This window comes from Homo sapiens, chromosome 11, assembly GCF_000001405.40.
Source record: "Homo sapiens chromosome 11, GRCh38.p14 Primary Assembly".
Classification (NCBI taxonomy): domain Eukaryota; kingdom Metazoa; phylum Chordata; class Mammalia; order Primates; family Hominidae; genus Homo; species Homo sapiens.
The window spans coordinates 124,022,682-124,044,222 of record NC_000011.10 but is presented as its reverse complement, the minus strand read 5'-3'; the positions used below and the strand labels follow the sequence as shown (position 1 = coordinate 124,044,222).

The 21,541-nt window shown below is 37.1% G+C and overlaps 3 protein-coding genes across 3 annotated transcripts, besides 1 other annotated feature; 1 reads left to right on the top strand and 2 right to left on the bottom strand.

Annotated features, from left to right (window-relative positions):
• Positions 1-2,897: 2,897 nt before the first annotated feature.
• Positions 2,898-8,210, top strand: OR10G7 (olfactory receptor family 10 subfamily G member 7). The gene is made up of 2 exons (NM_001004463.2): positions 2,898-3,337; positions 5,202-8,210. The coding sequence occupies exon 2, from the start codon at positions 5,222-5,224 to the stop codon at positions 6,155-6,157; it is 936 nt and encodes a 311-aa protein (NP_001004463.1). The 5' UTR covers positions 2,898-3,337; positions 5,202-5,221; the 3' UTR covers positions 6,158-8,210.
• Positions 8,507-8,801: a silencer, noted in NCBI's record as "tiled region #15688; K562 Repressive non-DNase unmatched - State 22:ReprW". NCBI's record gives its function as "represses a minimal TATA promoter and a strong SV40 promoter by Sharpr-MPRA in K562 cells {active_cell/tissue: K562}" and the evidence as "EXISTENCE:reporter gene assay evidence [ECO:0000049][PMID:27701403]".
• Positions 13,589-17,425, bottom strand: OR10G8 (olfactory receptor family 10 subfamily G member 8). The gene is made up of 2 exons (NM_001004464.2): positions 17,356-17,425; positions 13,589-14,627 (listed from the first exon to the last, which is right to left on the bottom strand). Exon 2 carries the CDS (start codon positions 14,598-14,600, stop codon positions 13,665-13,667), a length of 936 nt encoding a protein of 311 aa, NP_001004464.1. The 5' UTR covers positions 14,601-14,627; positions 17,356-17,425; the 3' UTR covers positions 13,589-13,664.
• Positions 17,426-20,274: 2,849 nt separating this feature from the next.
• On the bottom strand, positions 20,275-21,210 carry OR10G9 (olfactory receptor family 10 subfamily G member 9). The gene has a single exon (NM_001001953.1). It carries the CDS (start codon positions 21,208-21,210, stop codon positions 20,275-20,277), a length of 936 nt encoding a protein of 311 aa, NP_001001953.1.
• Positions 21,211-21,541: the final 331 nt, after the last annotated feature.

Sequence of the window (21,541 nt, the reverse complement as noted above, 5' to 3'; positions counted from 1 at the left end):
TGATCCCCAAGAAAGGAAAAGCAAATGAGGTGAGCACTCTGTTTGGAGGCACATTCTGAGCCATGGTGCATGGATAGGGGTCTGAAGCAGAGCACAACAGTTTTGCTGATTTTCAGGAACAGAGTTCTGAGTTAAAATATATAAATAATACAAAATTTACACACACTCTATCAGAAAATTGAATAGGCAAGAAACGTCCCAACTCATTCGATGATTTCAGTATTATCTTGATACAAAAACAAGACAAAGACATTATAGGAAAAGAGCTATCAATTTATATTCTTTATAAACAAGTATATTAAAATTCCTAATAAAATTTTCCAAATTGAATTTAATATATATGAAAAAAATGATTTGCATCATAATCAACCAGGTTGATTCCAGGAATGTAAGTATAGTTTAATATTCAGTACTCAAGCAACATAATTTGCCGTATTAACAAACTGAAAAAGAAAAACTATATGACTGTCTCAATAGATGCAGAAAATGCACTCGACAAATTGCAAAAGCCATTTCTGGTAAAAAAAAATCTCAGCTAACTAGGGGATAGAAGGAACCAATCTCATTTGTCAAACAGAAAAACAAAACAAACACAACAAAAAAAACCCCACAGCTGACGTCATGCTTAGTAGTAAAAAAAACTAGATATTTTCCCCTAAGATCAAGAACCTAGCATGTCTACTGCCACCACTTCTATTCAACATTGAGCTACAGTTTCTAGACAGGACATTTAGCTAAGAAAAAGAACTAAAAGGAATCTAGATTGTAAAGGAGAAGTAAACTGTCTGTGTTTGCACACGACATGGTCATCTATGTAGAAAATCTGATGGAATATCTAAAAAGACTATAGGAACTGATAAGTGAGTTTAGCTGAGTTGTAAGATATAAGATTTATATGCAATAATCAATCAACTCTATGTATTAACAACGAACAATTGGAAGTTGAAATTTTAGAAGTACTATTTAAAATAGCATCAAAATAAAATATTCCTAGTGATAAACCTGACAAAATATACTGGATATGAGCACTGAAACGACACAACATTGTTGAGAGAAACAAAAGAGATCAACAGTATTTGTGATCAAACATAATCCAGTATTACTAAGATAGCAATTGTCCCAAATTTATTGATAGATTGAATGCAATTCCAATCAAAATCACAGCAGGCTTTTGTGTGTGTAAATAAACAATTTTTTGTGTAAAATTTATATGGAAACGCAAAGGACTTTTTTATTTTATTTTATTTTATTTTTGAGACAGAGTCTCGTTCTTACCCAGGCTGGAGTGCAGTGGCGTGATCTCGGCTCACTGCAAGCTCCATCTCCCGGGTTCACGCCATTCTCCTGCCTCAGCCTCCCAAGCAGCTGGGACTACAGGCGCCCACTACCATGCCTGGCTAATTTTTTGTATTTTTAGTAGAGACGGGGTTTCGCCGTGTTAACCAGGATGGTCTCGATCTCGTGACCTCCTGATCCGCCTGCCTCAGCCTCCCAAAGTGCTGGGATTACAGGCGTGAGCCACCGCACCCGGCCGCAAAGGACTTTGAATAGCAAAAGTAATTGTGAAAAAAACAGAGAAATGGCTCAGTGGCAGAGGAGGCCCAGTGATGAATACGGTTGGTAAACAGGAATGCCTGGACTTCTACGCTTCTCTAGTCTTTGTTAGAGTATCAACAAGTCACCAGACTGTGTGGGTGGATTCAGCTGTGCCTTTTTCCATGTGCAAAGAACTATCAATGCAGAATTCTTGATGATGTTTAGAAGTTCTGGCGTGTTTATCACATAAAATCCCACTGGGTTTTAGTGAAACAGCCAAAAATGATGGATAATTCCTTTCTTTTTCTTAAAGAAATTAAAACTCAGCAAATGTTACTATTGAACTCCTCTTCCTGGAAAAAGGCACAGACAAGTTGTGTAGCACTCACAACAGACCTAAGTAATTCCTAAACCATTGCTAGGTGGGTGACAATAGTGTCTTCTACCAATACAGCAAGACAGAAAAGAAAGATAACAAATGTTTACTTTTGGAAAGAAAGACAAAAGTATCATTTTATAAAGATAATGTAACTGTATACTGTATACCAAGAAAATTGATAAGTTACACTGAAAGCACAAGTTAATAGTATTCACAAAGATAAGTACAGAAAGTTGGATAGAAGTTTCAATTAACAAAAATTGATAGCATATATTTGATAAAGAGATTTCAAAATATAATTGGAGCTAAATTGAAAGTAATTACTAAAATAATATTGTGATTTTACATTGATTAAATATGCCTTATACTAAATGGATAACCAATGTCAGAAAAATGGGTAATTTGGTAATTTAATTGGAAAAAAATATTAATTCAGGGGACTTCAGTTCTTCAAATTCCATTCCATATAGGACTATATTTTCCATATGCAGATGAGAGCATTTCTATTAGCACAAAAGGCTCATGAAACTGCAATTGTCCTCCAAAACTAACAGTGCTTTGGGCATCTACATTAGACCAGTTTTTCTTGTTGTTTTCATGAAAGCTTTTTCCTAATAGCTAAGAAATATATTAATTATGGAAGAAAAGCATACCTTCATTCTCTTTAATTGTATTAATTCAAGCTAAAAAATAAAAGAAAGTTTCACAGAAAATTTAAATACATTTTAAAGTTTAGAAGATATGAAAGAACAAAGGCAAAGTCTCTGAGAAGAACAGAAAATCTCTGAACTAGCATCCATTCTCAGCCAGGAACTTGCACAGTGAGAGTCTGCCAAGCCCCAGAGGGAGGAAGTTTAATTAGGAAGATGTTTATCTACAGGGAGTAGTACTCTGATCATCCCTGGAGCACAGAAAATCCGGAGCTTCTTTTTGTGACTCACCACAAAGTTAAAGATTTATCAGAGAGACTATGCACCTCTTCAGATAATTAGCTCCTTTATAACTAAAACCCATATTTACTATTATTAAATTTAAAAAAGAAATAGGAAAAAAATCATTCCCTGCACAAGGAGTTTTCAGATCCAGAGTGTCATAGTTATTCATTTTGGAAGTTGATTTTTGGCTAAATAAAAAGGTTTATGGAATGATGGCCATCCAATGCAGAATCAACTTTAGCAGATGCATTTGGAAAAAATTCCAAGTGTTTATCATGATGTCAACACATTATCTTCACTCATAAGGACTGTAGAGCTAACGGAGTGTCTCCTAAGACATCAAATTCATATTAAGTTCTATTTAAAAAGAGTTTCTTCTGTGGTTTCATCTTTGCAAGAAAAGAAAAATTATACCACTTATCAAGAACTGACATTTTCTTTCAATATTGAATTTTGCTTCATGATCCAAAACCTAGTTGTAAAATTGGTAAGTAGCAAAAATTGGCAACACTTCAGCATTTTTCGTTATTAGACACTTTTTGAGGGGAGGTGATTATGATGTATTTATGGTCATACTTTTGTTTCTCTTCATTTTTCGTCAGCTTTGGCTAATGAAGCTAGATTATCTTAGTCATGACTTACAGAGCCAACTTTTTGTGGTTCTGTAGAAGACTAAAAATTTTGTGAAATCATAAATCAATGAAGTGCTTTTTCTATAAACCTTAGCATTGCAACTCTGAGTTTCCAACTCAGTTGCAGCTGAATTCCATGATGGAAAAGTCTGCTTCTGTCAGAGCCCCCCCCACAAAAAATGTATTGCTGATTTATGACAGAAGCATTTTAGAAATTAATAATGAAATGCTTCTTTTCTATCAGAGAGGTCCAGGTCTTCAACCACGTTTCCTTATATTTCTTCATAAATTTTAATTTATTTTCTCTTGAAAATATAATGTCTGGGACATTGTGTCCACGTTAAAGAAAAAAAGAAAAACTTTGAGTCTGAGCTTTGAAATAATAGAAATCCTAGAAATAATGGAAATAAAAGACTTTTTTTATTTTTAGAAGGGCATTTGTATTTTTGTAATAACTATATTATTATTTTAATTCCATTCTGAAACTCAAACATCAGAGAAAGTTTAGTCTTTCTTACTACTCAAGCAGGTTCCATTCTTCTTGGCTATCTCAAAATGTGTTGTGAGATTATTTGATCATACTTTAGAAAGAGAAGGCTTAATTGCCTAAAATTCTGGAGAAGTAAATAATACAAAATGTATAAATAGAAAGAGACACAGAATAAGGGAAGCTAAAGAAAATGATGGTACTGTTCATTATTGCATTAGCTTGGGGTCAAACTTTGTATATGACCAGGAAGGTATGATCTAGGGCAGGGGTCCCCAGTGTTTGTGGCACGAGGGACCAGTTTCTGGTTTAATGGAAGACAATTTTTACATGGACCAGGGTGGGACCTGGGGTGGGGAGGGGGAGGATCTTAGTTAGATTCTCATAAGGACCACACAACCTAGATTCCTCGCATGTGCGGTTCACAATAGGGTTCCCACTCCTACGAGAATCTAATGCCCCTGCTGACGTGACAGGAAGCGGGGCTCAGGTGGTGATGCTCGCTTGCTGGCAGCTCTCTTCCTGCTGTGCGGACTGGTTCCTAACAGGCCATGGACCGGTACCAGTCCCTGACCTGGAGTTTGAGGACCCCTGATCTAGGGTAAGACAAAGGAACAGAAGACCGGCTCCACATAATGCTAAACCACTGCTGGAATCCTGCCTTAGTTCTGCAGCTGGCCAGAGAGCTCTGAGAAGGCAGTTTTCTCCCAGCCATCCAGAATGAAGCTTGCTTTAGAAATTTGTATTTGTAATGGAAATTCTCTAATGATCAAAGAGACTGAACCTGTATGTGTGAAAGTGTGTGTGTGTGTGTTGACACAGAGAGAATGTGTGTGTGCATGCGTATCTATATATGTGTGTGTTTGAGAGAAAAACAGAGAGAGATGCTTGAATAAAGGCTTATCCCCGGAAAGAGCTTGCCAGCACCTAAGTGTTGTTAATTTGAGTATATCTTTTCCAATTCTACAGAAAATAGGATACAAAATTTGTTCTTCTTTTCAAAATTTGGCTGATTTTATGTTAATTTCCTCCTCTTTTGTATATGGCTTATTCTGGTACTGGAATAAGAAAGTGCTATTCCTCTTCAAAGACCTATACTGAAGCAAAAGGAAGTTATAAAATATAAAAAATAATTTAACCCTATTGTTCTTAATCAGAAAAATATAGTTGCCATATTTCATATAAAACATGCTCACAGTAAATGCTATCTCCCTTCCTTTCTGTAAGAACAGAGCCCCATATATGAGAAGAAATGTCCAACGCCACCCTACTGACAGCGTTCATCCTCACGGGCCTTCCCCATGCCCCAGGGCTGGACGCCCCCCTCTTTGGAATCTTCCTGGTGGTTTACGTGCTCACTGTGCTGGGGAACCTCCTCATCCTGCTGGTGATCAGGGTGGATTCTCACCTCCACACCCCCATGTACTACTTCCTCACCAACCTGTCCTTCATTGACATGTGGTTCTCCACTGTCACGGTGCCCAAAATGCTGATGACCTTGGTGTCCCCAAGCGGCAGGACTATCTCCTTCCACAGCTGCGTGGCTCAGCTCTATTTTTTCCACTTCCTGGGGAGCACCGAGTGTTTCCTCTACACAGTCATGTCCTATGATCGCTACCTGGCCATCAGTTACCCGCTCAGGTACACCAACATGATGACTGGGCGCTCGTGTGCCCTCCTGGCCACCGGCACTTGGCTCAGTGGCTCTCTGCACTCTGCTGTCCAGACCATATTGACTTTCCATTTGCCCTACTGTGGACCCAACCAGATCCAGCACTACTTCTGTGACGCACCGCCCATCCTGAAACTGGCCTGTGCAGACACCTCAGCCAACGAGATGGTCATCTTTGTGAATATTGGGCTAGTGGCCTCGGGCTGCTTTGTCCTGATAGTGCTGTCCTATGTGTCCATCGTCTGTTCCATCCTGCGGATCCGCACCTCAGAGGGGAGGCACAGAGCCTTTCAGACCTGTGCCTCCCACTGTATCGTGGTCCTTTGCTTCTTTGGCCCTGGTCTTTTCATTTACCTGAGGCCAGGCTCCAGGGACGCCTTGCATGGGGTTGTGGCCGTTTTCTACACCACGCTGACTCCTCTTTTCAACCCTGTTGTGTACACCCTGAGAAACAAGGAGGTAAAGAAAGCTCTGTTGAAGCTGAAAAATGGGTCAGTATTTGCTCAGGGTGAATAGTTAAGAAAGGCCATATATGGCTAACTTTTCTTTTTTTATTTGTAATTAAATTAAACCTTCAACATAAGCATTATACTTGAATGGAGCATTTCAATTATTCAGTCTTAATTTTTAATTGGACAGTTAATTAATTTTTCATTTTTTTCTGCAGAGTGTTTGTTAGAATCCTAGTTAAAGCAGCCATTTCACGGTGATAATCTAAGAGAAAGGATAATAGTCTATTCTTTTCACGTTCCATTAAGTAATCAGAAAAGTAATTTATTTTCTTATATAAATATTTTCCAGAATTGTTATTCAGTATAATGTTCTTACAGTTTATTTTGTGTCATTTAAGTCAAAGCCTTATAAAAATCTTTTCATGTTTTAAACTTTCTATATTGAAAAATTCATTATAGCATTCATAAATAACTACATAATTTAATATCCATAAGATAAAATTTTTACTTTAGAAAATACTAGACAAAAAGGCTTGGTTCTCAAGAAGAATGGCTTTATTCACATTCATGGGCCAATAAAAACCATATAACTCTTTAATATTTTTTTCTTACTTTGGCCTGAAAGATTTCTGAGAGTAAATATTTGTCCATTTATGCACTGTATACACTGTACACATTGTATTGGTCTCTGATGACAACTATCTAGACTTTCCTTCCATATTTGTGGAGCTGCCAATCTCTTATCCTCAATGGCAAGTTTCCATTTTCAGCAATTTTAAAATTATTTTTATAAGTACCAGAGGATAAATAATAAATATACAAAAATGATCAAATAATCTTAGAGACAAAAATATGCAGTCAAAAACTGTTAAGAGTATCCCTTAATTTAGAATAAAGTACTAGATAATATTTCCCATGTAATTAGACTATGTCTGCAAGTCACATTCGTTTGTTTGACTTAAAGTATATGAAATGGACTCTGTACACTCTCTGGGTAGGTAAGGCTCAGACCATGAACCTTATAATCTGTCATCCAAATAAATACATATATTTAAAGTGTAAATAAATTTTTCTCAAAATAAATGTTTAATTTAAATACCACAGGTATCCTGGTCATGCCAACTCTGCCTAGCATAGCATGAAGAGTAAAAGAAAACTAGAAGGCAGCTGCTAGAACTGAAAAGCATTTCTCAAACTCCTCAGATTTGCAGCAGCTGCATTTCAAAGATGCTTTAGCAAGAATGCTCCTTTGTGCCAACTTTCCATATCTTGCTCCAAGTAAACTGTGCGGTGATATTGAGAAGAAAAACATACTAACTTGGTAAGCATGAGCTACATAAACCATGACACAGTACATGAAGCATGAACTACATAAACCATGATCAGTATAAGAGGTAAATTTTTGGTTTTCACACCAAGAAACCAGATTGCTATGGACCAATTATATAATTCAGCTCATTTCTCAAAGGAAAAAACTGAGGTAGACATAAACCAAAATTACTTAGTCATTGGATTCACTTGGATTCTTACACTTCTCTGTAACATCACGCTGTTATATCTAACTTACCATTACCTAAAATGTTATGGGATATTTATTGGGTGTTAAGTCACATGCTAAACAGTAGATACGCAAAAACAATAGACAAGGTCTCTGCATTCACCAAAGTCATTGTCTGGCAAGGGGGAAAAATATGTTGCATTGTCCAGGTTACATTGTTGTAAGTGCAATGGATGCCCAAGGAGAGATTCATTATTAGTTTTGACTTGGAAAGATGCTAAAGGATTCAAAATACTATGGCAATATGTATCACACACAACCATTTTGAAAGTAAATTATTGATAAACATATATAAGAAGAATGTCAGTCTTTATTTAATTGAAAATGTTGTTGAAATAATTTTAGAATCGCATGAAGTTGTAAGAAATAACACAGTGATAGTTCTTGTTATACCTTGCCCAGTTTCCCCCAATGGTAACAGTTAGCAAAATTGTAGTGCAATATCACAACTGGGATATTGACATTATTATAATCCACAAATCTTATTCAGATTTTTCTAGTTTTACTCACGTGTATGTGTGTGTATTTGTTAAATACTATACAGTTTTAACACCAGTGTATGTTAATTTTAACCTGGCTCAATCTACCTATTTATCCATTCAATAAATAAATATACACTGAGTGGCTATCGTGTCCTATGTACAATTAGTACAAAACAAAATAAACAGGCATAGACCTCCTGTTAAGAAGTTTGTAGTCCCAATATACAAGATGTATAGTGTTCCTAAGTTGATGAGTCATAAAAATCAAACAAATCATGACAAAATTTGTATACAATACTAGGAAGAAGGATTTTTATCTTGCAAGTTCTGGAGAGTTATTGAAATACTGTAATATGATAGCATTTTTATTTAGAGACATAACCTGTGGTAACATGGAAGACAGACGGAAGGAAGGTGAATTTTAGGGCAGCAACTAAAGAGCTTTTTTGATTGTATATCAAGAAAGAAAAACACCAAAGTCCAAGTTGAGACAACAGCAGAGGGAATTGGGAGTGGGGAAAGGGACAGCAAATAGGAGCCCACTGTGTGAGGCGGCAAAGCTGATGGAGAAGTTCATATGATTTGGCCATTGTGATATAACTTATCAAAATAGAGAAAGTAACAGGGATATGTTCTTAGGGTAGAATGAAAGTGTCTGACTTTGGGAATGTTTGGGTCGAGTGCCTGTGGAAGTTTCGGGTAAAATTATTTGGTTGAAGGTGTAGCTTGGGAGATGCAGAAGCCTACACAGTTAAGTAAGCAAGAGTACTGGTCACTATATTCCTTGTTTTGTGCTGGCTGTTAAACATCTGTTTCCTAACATGGAGAAGGAAATGTCTCTTATTCAATAGTAGCATGAAGAGAGGTCAGATCAGGAAAAAGTAACCACCACCTCTCCTACATTTCTCGAGGAAGTCCAAGAAAGGAAACCTTAAGGAGTTTTATACAAATCTGTTATTGGACCTTCCTTACAGTATTATTTCTCACAATGACACTCAAAGACCTTTCTAGAAGGTTGTAAATTCAAAGAAGTCCAGAGACAGTATTTATAAAAGCAGCTCCTTCTTGATGGCATGGTCATGAAAGATAGCAAAGGATGAAAGGGCCACCACTGTTGCTCTTTCAGTTCCCTGATGCTATTAAACTCCTTTAATAGGTTAGATCTTAATAGCATTGAGGGGATACTAGAAGGAAATTAAAAGAAAATCAAGTGTCAAAAGGATTAACTTAAATAATAAAAGGGCCGCTTGAGGATTTGGGAAATAAAGGTGCACATTGAAGGCACATGGTGCACATAGTAGGCACAGAAGCATAAAACCTGTGTGTTTAAAGATGGAGATAATATGTGGATGAGTGGAACAGAATATGGAGTCCAGAAAGAGACCTACGCATAGCAGTCTGTTGACTTTTAGCCAAAGTGCCAAGGCATTTTGAAGAAAAAAGTGTGATACTTTCAACAAATTATGCCTAAAAGTCTGTCTATCCCTAAGTAAGAACGAAACTTTGAATATTACTTCACTTTATATACAAAAATTAACTTAAATGAGATTATTGACCTAGATGTAAAAGCTAATACTATTATATTTCTAGGACAAAAAAGTAGGAGAGAAACTTTCATAAACTTGAGGTAGATATAGATTTCTTAAGGAGGACAGAAAACATGAACCATAGAAATAAGTCAAAAGTTGGGCTTTATCAAAATTAGAAATTTGTGCTCTTCCAATGATATTAATAAGTAAATGAGTAGGCAAAAAACACACTAGATGTAAATATTTGTAATGCATATATCTAATAAAGAACTGAATAAAAAATTGTAAAGATATACCACAATTTAATAATTAAAAACAACCCAATGAGAAATGGGCAGAAGATCTGAACACACGCTTCTCAAAGAAGGATATTTGAATGGGCACCAGGAAGATGAAAAATTGCTCAACATTATTAACCGTTAGTGAAATATAAATTCAGACATAATAAGACTACACACACATAGTCAAATGGCCAAAATTTAGAAACCTAAAGTCAATATTATTGAGAATGTGGATCAATAAGAACTTTTATGCATTTCTGGTAGATATATAAAACGGTACAGCCAGTTTGGAGAAAACCCAATTTTTTAAAATATTAAATACATATTTGTCATTGAACTTATCATTCAACTTGACAAATCTATTTTTTAATGTTTACCCGAGAGTTTAAATCATATGCCTAACAAATATTTGCAAATGAATCTATGTAGCAGCTTTATTAATAATATCCCCAAACTGAAAGCAATAGGTAATAGATTATGGCATATTTATATAATAGACTACCTTTCAATGACAAATGCATTACTGATACACACAAATGCACAAATAAATATAAAAAACATTAGGATAAACATAACAAGTCAGACACAAGATAGTATATACTATATGATCCCATTCATAGGAAACTCTAAAAAGGACAAATCTAATCCATAGTGAGAGAAGGCAGATCAGTAGTTATCTGGGGCTTAGGGTAGTGTAGGACTGATGAGAAGGGACACGGCAGATTATACGTGGTACTGGAAAAGTTTTTACCATGATTTTTGTGGTAGATACACAGGTACTTCCATTTGTTAAAACATATCAGACTGTGCACCTAAAATGGATACAAACTATACCTCAATAAAGTTTTGCATTTTAAAAACAAATTCTTTCCCAATAAAGTTTTTAAAAGCAGGAAAAAAGTAACCCCCCCACCCCAAAACAGGCCCTGATGTGTGATGTTCCCCTTCCTGTGTCCAAGTGTTCTCATTGTTCAATTCCCACCTATGAGTGAGAACATGCAGTGTTAGGTTTTTTGTCCTTGCGATAGTTTGCTGGGAATAATGGTTTCCAGCTTCATCCATGTCCCTACAAAGGACATGGGAGGGATAGCATTAGGAGATATACCTAATGTAAATGATGAGTTAATGGGTGCAGCACACCAACATGGCACATGTATACATATGTAACAAACGTGCACGTTGTGCACATGTACCCTAGAACTTAAAGCATAATATATATATAGAGAGAGAGAGAAAGAGAGAGAGAGAGAGAGAGAGAGCAGGCAAAAAGTCAAACTACAAATTAAAAACAAAAAAGAGAAACTTATTTCTAAAGAGCAATGACGAAGTAATTGGTGCAGACCTAACCTCCCTTCAAAACTGTATAAAATGTAGTCACACACTATACAAATTACTAAAGGATATTCTAAAATTGAATAAAATAATCCTAGATAGAAGGATAGAAGTGCAAAATAGATAAGTCCATAAATACCACAGGAAAGGGTGAATACGTACATAAACATACAAGAAGACCTTTGACTGTTTAAAGCCCCAACAGTAACATGTTGTCTGGTTTATAACATAGTTAGAAATTAATTAGTTAGAAATTAAATAAAGGTCAAAAATATTTCTAAAAAAAGGTATAAAGCCATTACATGGAACTAAATGTAAGACTCTTGGATTATTCAAATATGGTAAGGTACTAATGCAAATAGCTTGTAATGCATTGAAATGATATTGACTTTATCATAAAAATATAATAAAAAGTAAAAATAGTTAAAAGTAATGAAAAATGAAATAAAGTAATGAAAATACTTGATTAATACATTAAATATTTTGAAAAATACAAAAAAGATTGAGAAACATGAATAAAGAGAAAGGAATTTAAGGTAAGAATAGAAAACAACAAAATATTAGACTATTACAGATACAGTAATGCACTACAAAAAAAGATAAATAAATAAGTAAAACAGGCAGCTTATAAAAGAAGCAACATCTAATTATATCTGGTTTAAAAACAACTACACTAAATACAAACACACACACACACACACACACACACACACACACACGGAAAGTTAAAGGGTAGAAAATTTATGCCAAGAAAATACTAGGAAAAAAACTAATATGACTATATTATTAGCAAATAAAGTGAACTTTCAAGTAAGAAGTATTATCAGAGATATAAAGGACATTTTTTAAATGTCTACTCATAAAAAGCTAAAAGGATCAATTTATTTTAGGTGGGGTCCTACATGTTTATGGACTTTACCTTCATGAACCCCCTCCGGTTTCCTATCATGAAAAGCTAAAAATAAAATAAATAAATAAAAAATCCCCTCTTGGCTCTGGTAGAGTTAGGGGATAGGTAACCATTGTGAAACATACCCAGAGCTTCCTCTACATCAGATATCTGTTCCCTGGGCAAAGGCTTTGTCAGATTATTATCCCAAATGGGGGAAGTGCATTTCTCCCCTTTAAGTTTGACACCTATAGCCCTCCTGTCTTACTTAAAGGGGAAAACATATTAAACGCGTCAGTTTTAGAGGAATTAGATTGGGAATGTTGAATGTAGCTGGAGAAGAGAATGGGAGAAACAGGGAATTGAGATGGGAGGTATTTATGAAAACACTTGTGAAGGTCACAGTTCTAAAGACAGGCCCACTAAAAACACAAGTGTTGAATCAGAATTTTACAGGACAATACTCCCTCAACTCTTACAACCACACCAACAGGGCTCCAGTAAATAACAGTAAATAAAAGAGTTGAAGAGCTGAAAGAGTTACTAGTCACAGACTCTCTTTGAGGACTAGTATTTAAGGATACTTAAAATAAATGGGCAAGGCAAAACAAGACACTAGAGGAATTTGAAGCCTTTGGTCCCTACAAACATGACACACAGTTCAGCTTCTAGCCAGACTAGATTACCATAAATCTCCCTTCTAACTGCCTATTTGTCTCAGTTCCTATTACCTGAAACAAGATGTCTAGCTTTCAACAAAAAATTATAAGACATGTTAAAAGGTAAGAAAAAAAAGCACAGCCTACTGAAACTATAAAAATGCTAGAAGAAAACCTCAGGAAAACTCTTCTGGACATGGTCTAGGAAAAAATTCATGACTAAGACCTCAAAAGCACAGGCAACAAAAATTAAAATCGACAAATAACACTTATACTAAAAAGCTTCTGCACAGCAAAAGAAATAATCAACAGAAATAACAGAATGGGAGAAAATATTTGCAAACTATGCATCCAATAGGGACTCATATCCAGAATTTACAAAGAACTCAAATTACTTAACAATGAAAAGCAAATAATCTCATTAAAAGGTTGGTAAAGGAAATGAATAGACATTTTTCAAAAGAAAACATATAAGTGATTAACAGGCACATGAAAAAATGCTCAACATCAATAATCATCACAGAAATGCAAATTAAAGCCACAAAATCAGTCAGAATCACCATTATTAAAAAGATAAAAAAATAACAGATGTTAGCAAGGCTGTAGAGAAAAGGGAACACTTATACACTGTTGGTGGGAATGTAAACTAGTACAACCTCTATGGAAAACAGTGTGGAGATTTCTCAAAGAACTAAAAATAGAATTAACATTTAATCTAGCAGTTCCACTACTGGGTATCTACCCAAAGGAAAAGAATTCATTACATCCAAAAGATACCTGCCCCTGTATGTTTTTCACAGCACTATTCACAAGAGCTAAGATATGTAATCTTCCCTAGTGTCTATTTGCTCTGAGAATGTGCTACTTTGTCTTTCAGCTTCAACAGAGCTTTCTTCACCTCCTTGTTCCTCAGGGTGTACACAACAGGGTTGAGAAGGGGCGTCAGCACAGTGTAGAAAACGGCCACAACTCCATCCACAGCTTTCCTGGAGCCTGGCCTCAGGTAAATGAAAAGACCAGGGCCAAAGAAGCAAAGGACCACGATACAGTGGGAGGCACAGGTCTGAAAGGCTCTGTGCTTCCCCTCTGAGGTGCGGATCCGCAGGATGGAACAGACGATGGACACATAGGACAGCACTATCAGGACAAAGCAGCCCGAGGCCACTATTCCAACAGTCACAAAAATGACAGTCTCTATGGCTGAGGTGTCTGCACAGGCCAGTTTCAGGATGGGCGGTGCATCACACAAATAGTGCTGGATCCAGTTGGGTCCACAGTAGGGCAAATGGAAAGTCAATATGGCCTGGACAGCAGAGTGCAGAGAGCCACTGAGCCAAGTGCTGGTGGCCAGAAGAGTACACGAGCGCCCAGTCATCATGCTGGTGTACCTGAGCGGGTAACTGATGGCCAGGTAGCGATCACAGGACATGACCCTGTAGAGGAAACACTCGGTGCCCCCTAGGAAGTGAAAGAAATAGAGCTGAGCCATGCAGCTGTGGAAGGAGATAGCCCTGCCACTTGGGAACACCAAAGTCATCAGCAATTTGGGCACCGTGACAGTGGAGAACCACATGTCAATGAACGACAGGTTGGTGAGGAAGTAGTACATGGTGGTGTGGAGGTGAGAATCCACCCTGATCACCAGCAGGATGAGGAGGTTCCCCAGCACAGTGAGCACGTAAACCACCAGGAAGACTCCAAAGAGGGGGGCGTCCAGCGCTGGGGCATGGGGAAGGCCCATGAGGATGAACGCTGTCAGTAGGCTGGCGTTGGACATTTCTTCTCACCCTTGGTCTCTCTCCCTCTGGGAATATAAAGAGCACCCAGCATTTAGCACTTAATTGAGAAATGAGAATCCATTCTCTGTGTGGAAACTGCATCAAGCAGGTAGATAATTCTGGAGTTATTGTGGACTTTGCTTGTTAACAAAGCTTCCTTCATAAACTAATGAAGTGATTTCCTAGTCTTTCTCTGTCTCACATACACACACACAGAGACATATGCGGAAGAAATTAGGAGAAACGCATTGTCTTAGATTTTAATAGGTGTATAAATTACCACAAACTTAACTGGCTTAAAACATGCAAATTTATTGTCTCGCCCTCTCTGTGGGTCAGGTCAGCTGGGCCCTCTGTTTAGCTCTCATCAGGTTTTAATCAACATATCACCAAGGCCTGCAATCTCATCTGAGGTTGGGGATCATTCTCCAAGCTTCTTGTGGTTGTTGGCACGATTCGGTTCCTTGCAGTTTTAGGACTCAGGTTCCAGTTTCCTTGCTGTTTGTTGGCAGGACACGTAACTCTCAACTTACTGAGGTCACCCTAGGTCCAAGAAAGTCCTAGCTACTTGGCCTTCTTAAAACACCACAGGTTACTTCTTCAAAACCAACGAGACAGACTCTCTCCAGTTTGCTATGGCAAAGTATTACATAATGTTATGTAATGCAGTCACGGGGGTGATATTCCATCATATTAACAGGTCCCAGGCATACTCAAAGGAAGGTTATTAAATGGAAAGCATATACTAGACAGCAGGAATCTTGAAGGCTACTGCAAATTCTACCTACCACATTCATTTTTGCTTCCTTGCTCATGGGAAAACTTAAAAAAAAACACCAAGAATTTAATTGTTAGTGGCTGGGAATATTTGAAAACTGAACAGTTCAGCTAAATCATTTTCTAGTTTCCTCATATGTTATTTGACATTACTAACATCACCTACCTCACTGAGAAGTTATAAGCATTAAATAAGATGATACATATAAAGTACTAAGTACTGTGCCTGGCAGGTAGTAACTGCTCAATAAATGACAGTGAGTCTTATCACATTATGCCTTGCAGCAGTATTACAGAATTTCCAGTTTTGGTCTTAGGAAGAAAGAGAGTACATATATTCTTTCAGTGTTTTCAGAGAGTCCTTCTGAATCTAAGAGCTAGGTCTTCTTGGACTATTTTGTGCCTGATACTGTTACTGATGTCCTCACTACTGCCTGCTTTCAAAGGGCTTGTCCTTGGTCTCTCAGAGCAGGTAAGAATCTCAGCGCAACTCCATAATGGGATTCCCACGACCTCCCAAATGATCCAGAGAGCATCAAGGTTCATGCATAACTGTCCCCTGCCCCCATTTCTGCTACCCTAGAACACTTCCTATGTGGTTCTGAGAACATGGCATTCATATGTGCTCTCCCAAACACAATCCACTGGGTAGAGGCCAGCTGTCTTTCATACTCCTTCTACCCTAGGTTTCTAAATATATTCTAATATTGGCTTTGTTAGATATCATGTGTTGCCTCCACCATCTTCCTTTACTCCTCATTCTCATAAATCCAGGTAATGAATGATCTCACAAAGAAGACAATTCCATCAAGTCTCTCTCTTAATTAAGACCTAGAATCTGAGACAGGAAAAACGGGACCAATGTAAGAAGAGGGATCTATGCCACCTTGATGTCAAGAGAAGCTGGGATTCTGTATAATGGAAATCAGGGCCAAAATAAGGTTCTTTGCTTAATATTAATATTAATACAAAATATTGTCTTAGTTCAGGAGTCTTACTAATTGTTCAGTGGGCAAATACTATGAAACTTGTTCACCAGTGTGAGAGAAGCCATGATCTCTGCCCTTCAGAAATCCCAGAGAAGATACCTCCAGGGAATGTGGCTTAAGCTAGTTTAAAGAAAGGTTTTTGAAATATGTAAATAAATAGCAGAAAGGAGATTACTGCAATCACCAACATGGATATCAGAACTTTTAAAATAGAACCAAGATACTCTGAAATTTCTACTGCACCAGGAGGAACAATTCCCAGAATAGCTTCATGATCAGATTTGATGAAATGTGAAAATCCTCATCCAGTGAAGTCCAAGGTAGCCTGAGACCTAAAGCAAGAGTCTCAATCCGCAGGGTCAATGTTTGACTTGCATATTAACATACAGAAGTATACATAGCAACTTTGTCTCTATTAGTATCCCATCAATTACTATCTATCTATCTATGTATCTAACTGATTTTATAACAAAGTCTTAACAATTATCGAATATCTTATATCTGAATGGAAGTTTGACATAAAGGAAAGAAGGAAAGCAGGAGAAAATAAGTTAAATCTACATTTCTAAGAACTCATCTTACAGTAGGTGATTCATTTCAATAGTAAAACTCATCTGAGTTTTTGCCCCAATTTGTCACTTTCCACATGCTGTGTACAGGTGCTAAGTTTGCAAGATACCACTCAAAGAACAGATACAGTGTTAAGAAAGAGTGGTCCTTTTCTACTTAAGGACCAAACCAGTTGAAGTGCAGGGAATGGAAATGAATATGGGTAGGAACTTAAGTTGATTTGTGTCTCAGAGGATGGGATTCCTTTTCAGCTTTTAGGTTCCCTTGATGCATACAAAACCAACAGGAAGAGACCAATGAAAGGATCTTCATAAGCATGCACACATTTCCTTAGAGTTTTTTATTTAGCCTCCTGAGATGAGCCCATGCCTTCCTGGAATCAGTATTTGTACCTTAGAGGAAAGAATAACTGACTTACCCTTTTCTCTCACCAGTGGCTGAGAGACACTCACAACTGCTTGCTCTCAACTTAAAATTTTCCATAATCCATAATGGTCCTCACTTTTTGGTGCTCTCCAGCTCAGCATCACTCACTCGTTCACTGTCTATGGTGGTTTTAATCATCCAAATTCCCCAGCTTTTTCTGTTGTTTAGAGTTTCAGGGTGGCTTTTCCCCAGAGATCTACCTACCTAACATAATTATATCCCAATTGTATCAGTAATCATTAGATATTATTGCTGTCATAATTTTCATTGCTTTTACAACATGAATAAACAATTTTGATATTTCATGCATACGTCTCCTTTTGTAAATTGACTTTTTAGAATCTTTATTCATTGCTTTTTTTTGAGGTAATAGTCTTTATCTTACTGACTTATCTGAAGTTTTACAAATTGAAAACATTAATTTGTTTTTTATTGTAAGGTAAAACGTACTTTGAAATTTATCACCACTTAAATACTTTTTAAACTTGCATAGATATTTTTGCTGTTCTAGGAAATTTTATAAACTGATTCCAATATGTTTTCTGATATTGGCATTTTGCTTTAAAGGGATTTTCTTGATCAGGCGCAGTGGCTCATGCCTGTAATCCCAGTACTTTGGGAGCCAAGGCAGGTGGATCGCTTAAGCCCAGGAGTTGGAGACCAGCTTGGGCAACACAGTGAAACCCTGTCTCTACAAAAACTACACAAATTAGCCAAGTATGATGGTGGGTGCATGTAGTCCCAGCTACTCAGGAGGCTGAGGTGGGAGGATCGCTTGAGCCTTGGGAGGCCAAGGTTGCAGTGAGTTGAGGTGACACCACAGCACTCCAGCCTGGACAACAGAGCCAGATCCTGTCAAAAAAATTTTTTTTCTCACATACAAGTTTATCAGTATTCACTTATGTAATATTTAATGTTTTAAGGCCTTTTCCTTCATTTAAATATTTACTTCATCTGAAATTAATTTTATTTTATGCGTGACATAAGGATGTTTTTATTTTCTATATAATTTGGGATTGTAGTTGTAATTACCTCATTAACTGAAATGGTTTTTCTTTAAGGAATTTGGTTTAAGTTCCCAATTATTTTTGTATTCTCTTTTATACTTTGTGTATTAACCTCTAGTTTTATTACATTATCATCAAAGAAAATGAGTGGCAAATTTTCTATTTCAAAATGTAATAACTTTAGTCTCATGTATTATTTTTATGGTTAGCTTCCTCTATTTGTTTATTTTCTTTAAAAATATGTTTTTAATTAATTTTTTCCAAGAGGGTTTTGCACGCCTATAAAATCTCTTACATAAATAAGTGTCATACAGTCCTCCACATTGATATCTCCTATCTACTATAATTGAGTTTTTATGTGTCTAGTATGACATAGGGTCAAGACTAATTTTTTTATTCTGAATACTCAGATACCTTAACATAATTTATTAAAGAAGGTAATCTTGCTTTATTGCTCGGCAGTGTCATCTTTGTCATATGAGTGTGTATCAGTCTATTCCTTTACGCTGTATTCAGTTACAATTTTCTATTTGTCTAGCCCCATATAAATAAGACACTCCTGAGTTACTATAGCTGTGTAATAAGTTCTGATAACTAGTGTTGTCAATCTTTCAGTTAAGTTTTATTTCTTCAAGATAATATTGACCATTTTGGGACTTATTCAATCCAAACTTTAGGATCCACATGTCCATAGCTGCAAAATCAAATGCTGGGATTTTACTTGGAATAGTATTGAATGTATAGATCTAGTTGAATAAAATTGGCCTTTTTAAAATATGAGTCTCCGTGTGTGCAAGTTGTAAACCTACATTCTTTTAGCAAATTTTATATTTATCTGAAAATATTTTATTTCTATTGTCATGGTCTTACACATGTTACTTAAAATTAAATGCAGCTCCAGGTTCTCATCCTCAGCACTATCGACATTTTGGCCATGATAAGCTTTGTTGTGAGGGTCTCTCCTGTGCATTGTGGAATGCTTAACACCCCTGACCTATAGCCAATAGATGCCAGTGCCTGTGAGAAGCAAGAATATTTCCAGACATTGCCAAATGAACCAGGGGACAAAACAGCCCCAAGTGATCTAGATATTTAAGAGATTTAATGTTTTATATTGAATCTTAACAAACATAATAAAATAGGCGCATGTGATAAGTGCATAAACTATTATATATGTAGCTGTAAATCGTACATTATCATTGCTGGATAGTAATCTATTCTGTGAATACACAATTTCTATTTGATTCATTGATAATATTTAAATATTAATAGCTTGCTATTTTTGCCCATTAAAAATAGTGTTTCTAGAAATGTTTTCCAATACATGTATGTAAATAGACAGATACATATACATACATGATGAAAACCTATATGTTAAATATGCTAAATGCTACAGACTTTCTTTTGTATACACGTTTGGATTTGTATAGACACATACAAATATACAGATACATTAAAACCAAAAAGAAATTTGAACAGCTACAGCCACAATTAGAAAAATGACCTCAAATATTTGTTGCTATTTTTGAACGATGTCTCCATAATGGTAAATTGTTAAGTTTGTGTGCAAAAAAAATCAAACAAAACACAAAACTTTTTATCAAGTTGTAAACATGAAGGACTCAACCATCTATCCCGGAGATTCGATGAAAATATTTTTTTAAATTAATATGAACCTATTGATGAGAAATGAATCAATAAATCAGAATATAAGCATGTTCCTCATACACATAAGTCTAGCTGTGAGGTTAAAACTGTCTTAGACAATCTGTGGAAGAATTATAACTGTGCAGGTGTTTTGGAATAATGTTTAACACTGAGAACTATACATATAATCAATTTCACATGAATAACTAAATTATATTACTATTTTTAAACAAACTAGTGTATCTACTTCCTAGTATTTATTCTCCCTGAGAATGTGCTACTTTGTCTCTCAGTTTCAACACAGCTTTCTTCACCTCCTTGTTTCTCAGGGTGTACACAACAGGGTTGAGAAGGGGTGTCAGCACAGTGTAGAAAATGGCCACAACTCCATCCACGACGTCCCTGGAGCCTGGTCTCAGGTAAATGAAAACACAGGGAACAAAAAAGCAAAGGACCACGATGCAGTGGGAGGCACAGGTCTGAAAGGCTCTGTGCCTCCCCTCTGAGGTGTGGATCCGCAGGATGGAACAGACGATGGACACATAAGACAGCACTATCAGGAGAAAGCAGCCCGAGGCCACTAGCCCAATGTCCACAAAGATGACCATCTCGTTGGCTGAGGTGTCTGCACAGGCCAGTTTCAGGATGGGCGGTGCATCACACAAATAGTGCTGGATCTGGTTGGGTCCACAGTAGGGCAAATGGAAAGTCAATATGGTCTGGACAGCAGAGTGCAGAGAGCCACTGAGCCAAGTGCTGGTGGCCAGGAGGGCACATCTGCTCCCACTCATCATGCTGGTGTACCTGAGCGGGTAACTGATGGCCAAGTAGCGATCATAGGACATGACTGTGTAGAGGAAACACTCGGTGCTCCCCAGGAAGTGGAAAAAATAGAGCTGAGCCACGCAGCTGTGGAAGGAGATAGCCCTGCCGCTTGGGGACACCAAGGTCATCAGCATTTTGGGCACCGTGACAGTGGAGAACCACATGTCAATGAAGGACAGGTTGGTGAGGAAGTAGTACATGGGGGTGTGGAGGTGAGAATCCACCCTGATCACCAGCAGGATGAGGAGGTTCCCCAGCACAGTGAGCACGTAAACCACCAGGAAGATTCCAAAGAGTGGGGCGTCCAGCCCTGGGGCATGGGGAAGGCCCGTGAGGATGAACGCTGTCACGAGGCTGGTCTTGGACATTTCTTCTCACCCTTGGTCTCTCTCCCTCTGGGGATATAAGGAGCACCCAGCATTTACCAATTAATTGATAACTGAGAAGTCATTCTCTATGTGAAAACCAGGTAGATAATTCTGGAGTTTTCATGGACTTTGCTTGTTACAAAGCTTCCTTCATAAAGCTAATGAAGTGATTTCCTAGTCTCTCTCTCTCTCTCTCTCTCTCTCTCTCTCTCTCTCTCTCTCTCTCTCTCTCTCTCTCTGTCACATACAAACACACACACAGAGACATACGCAGAATAAATTAGGAGAAACACATTGTCTCGATTTCAATGGGTGCATAAATTACCACAAA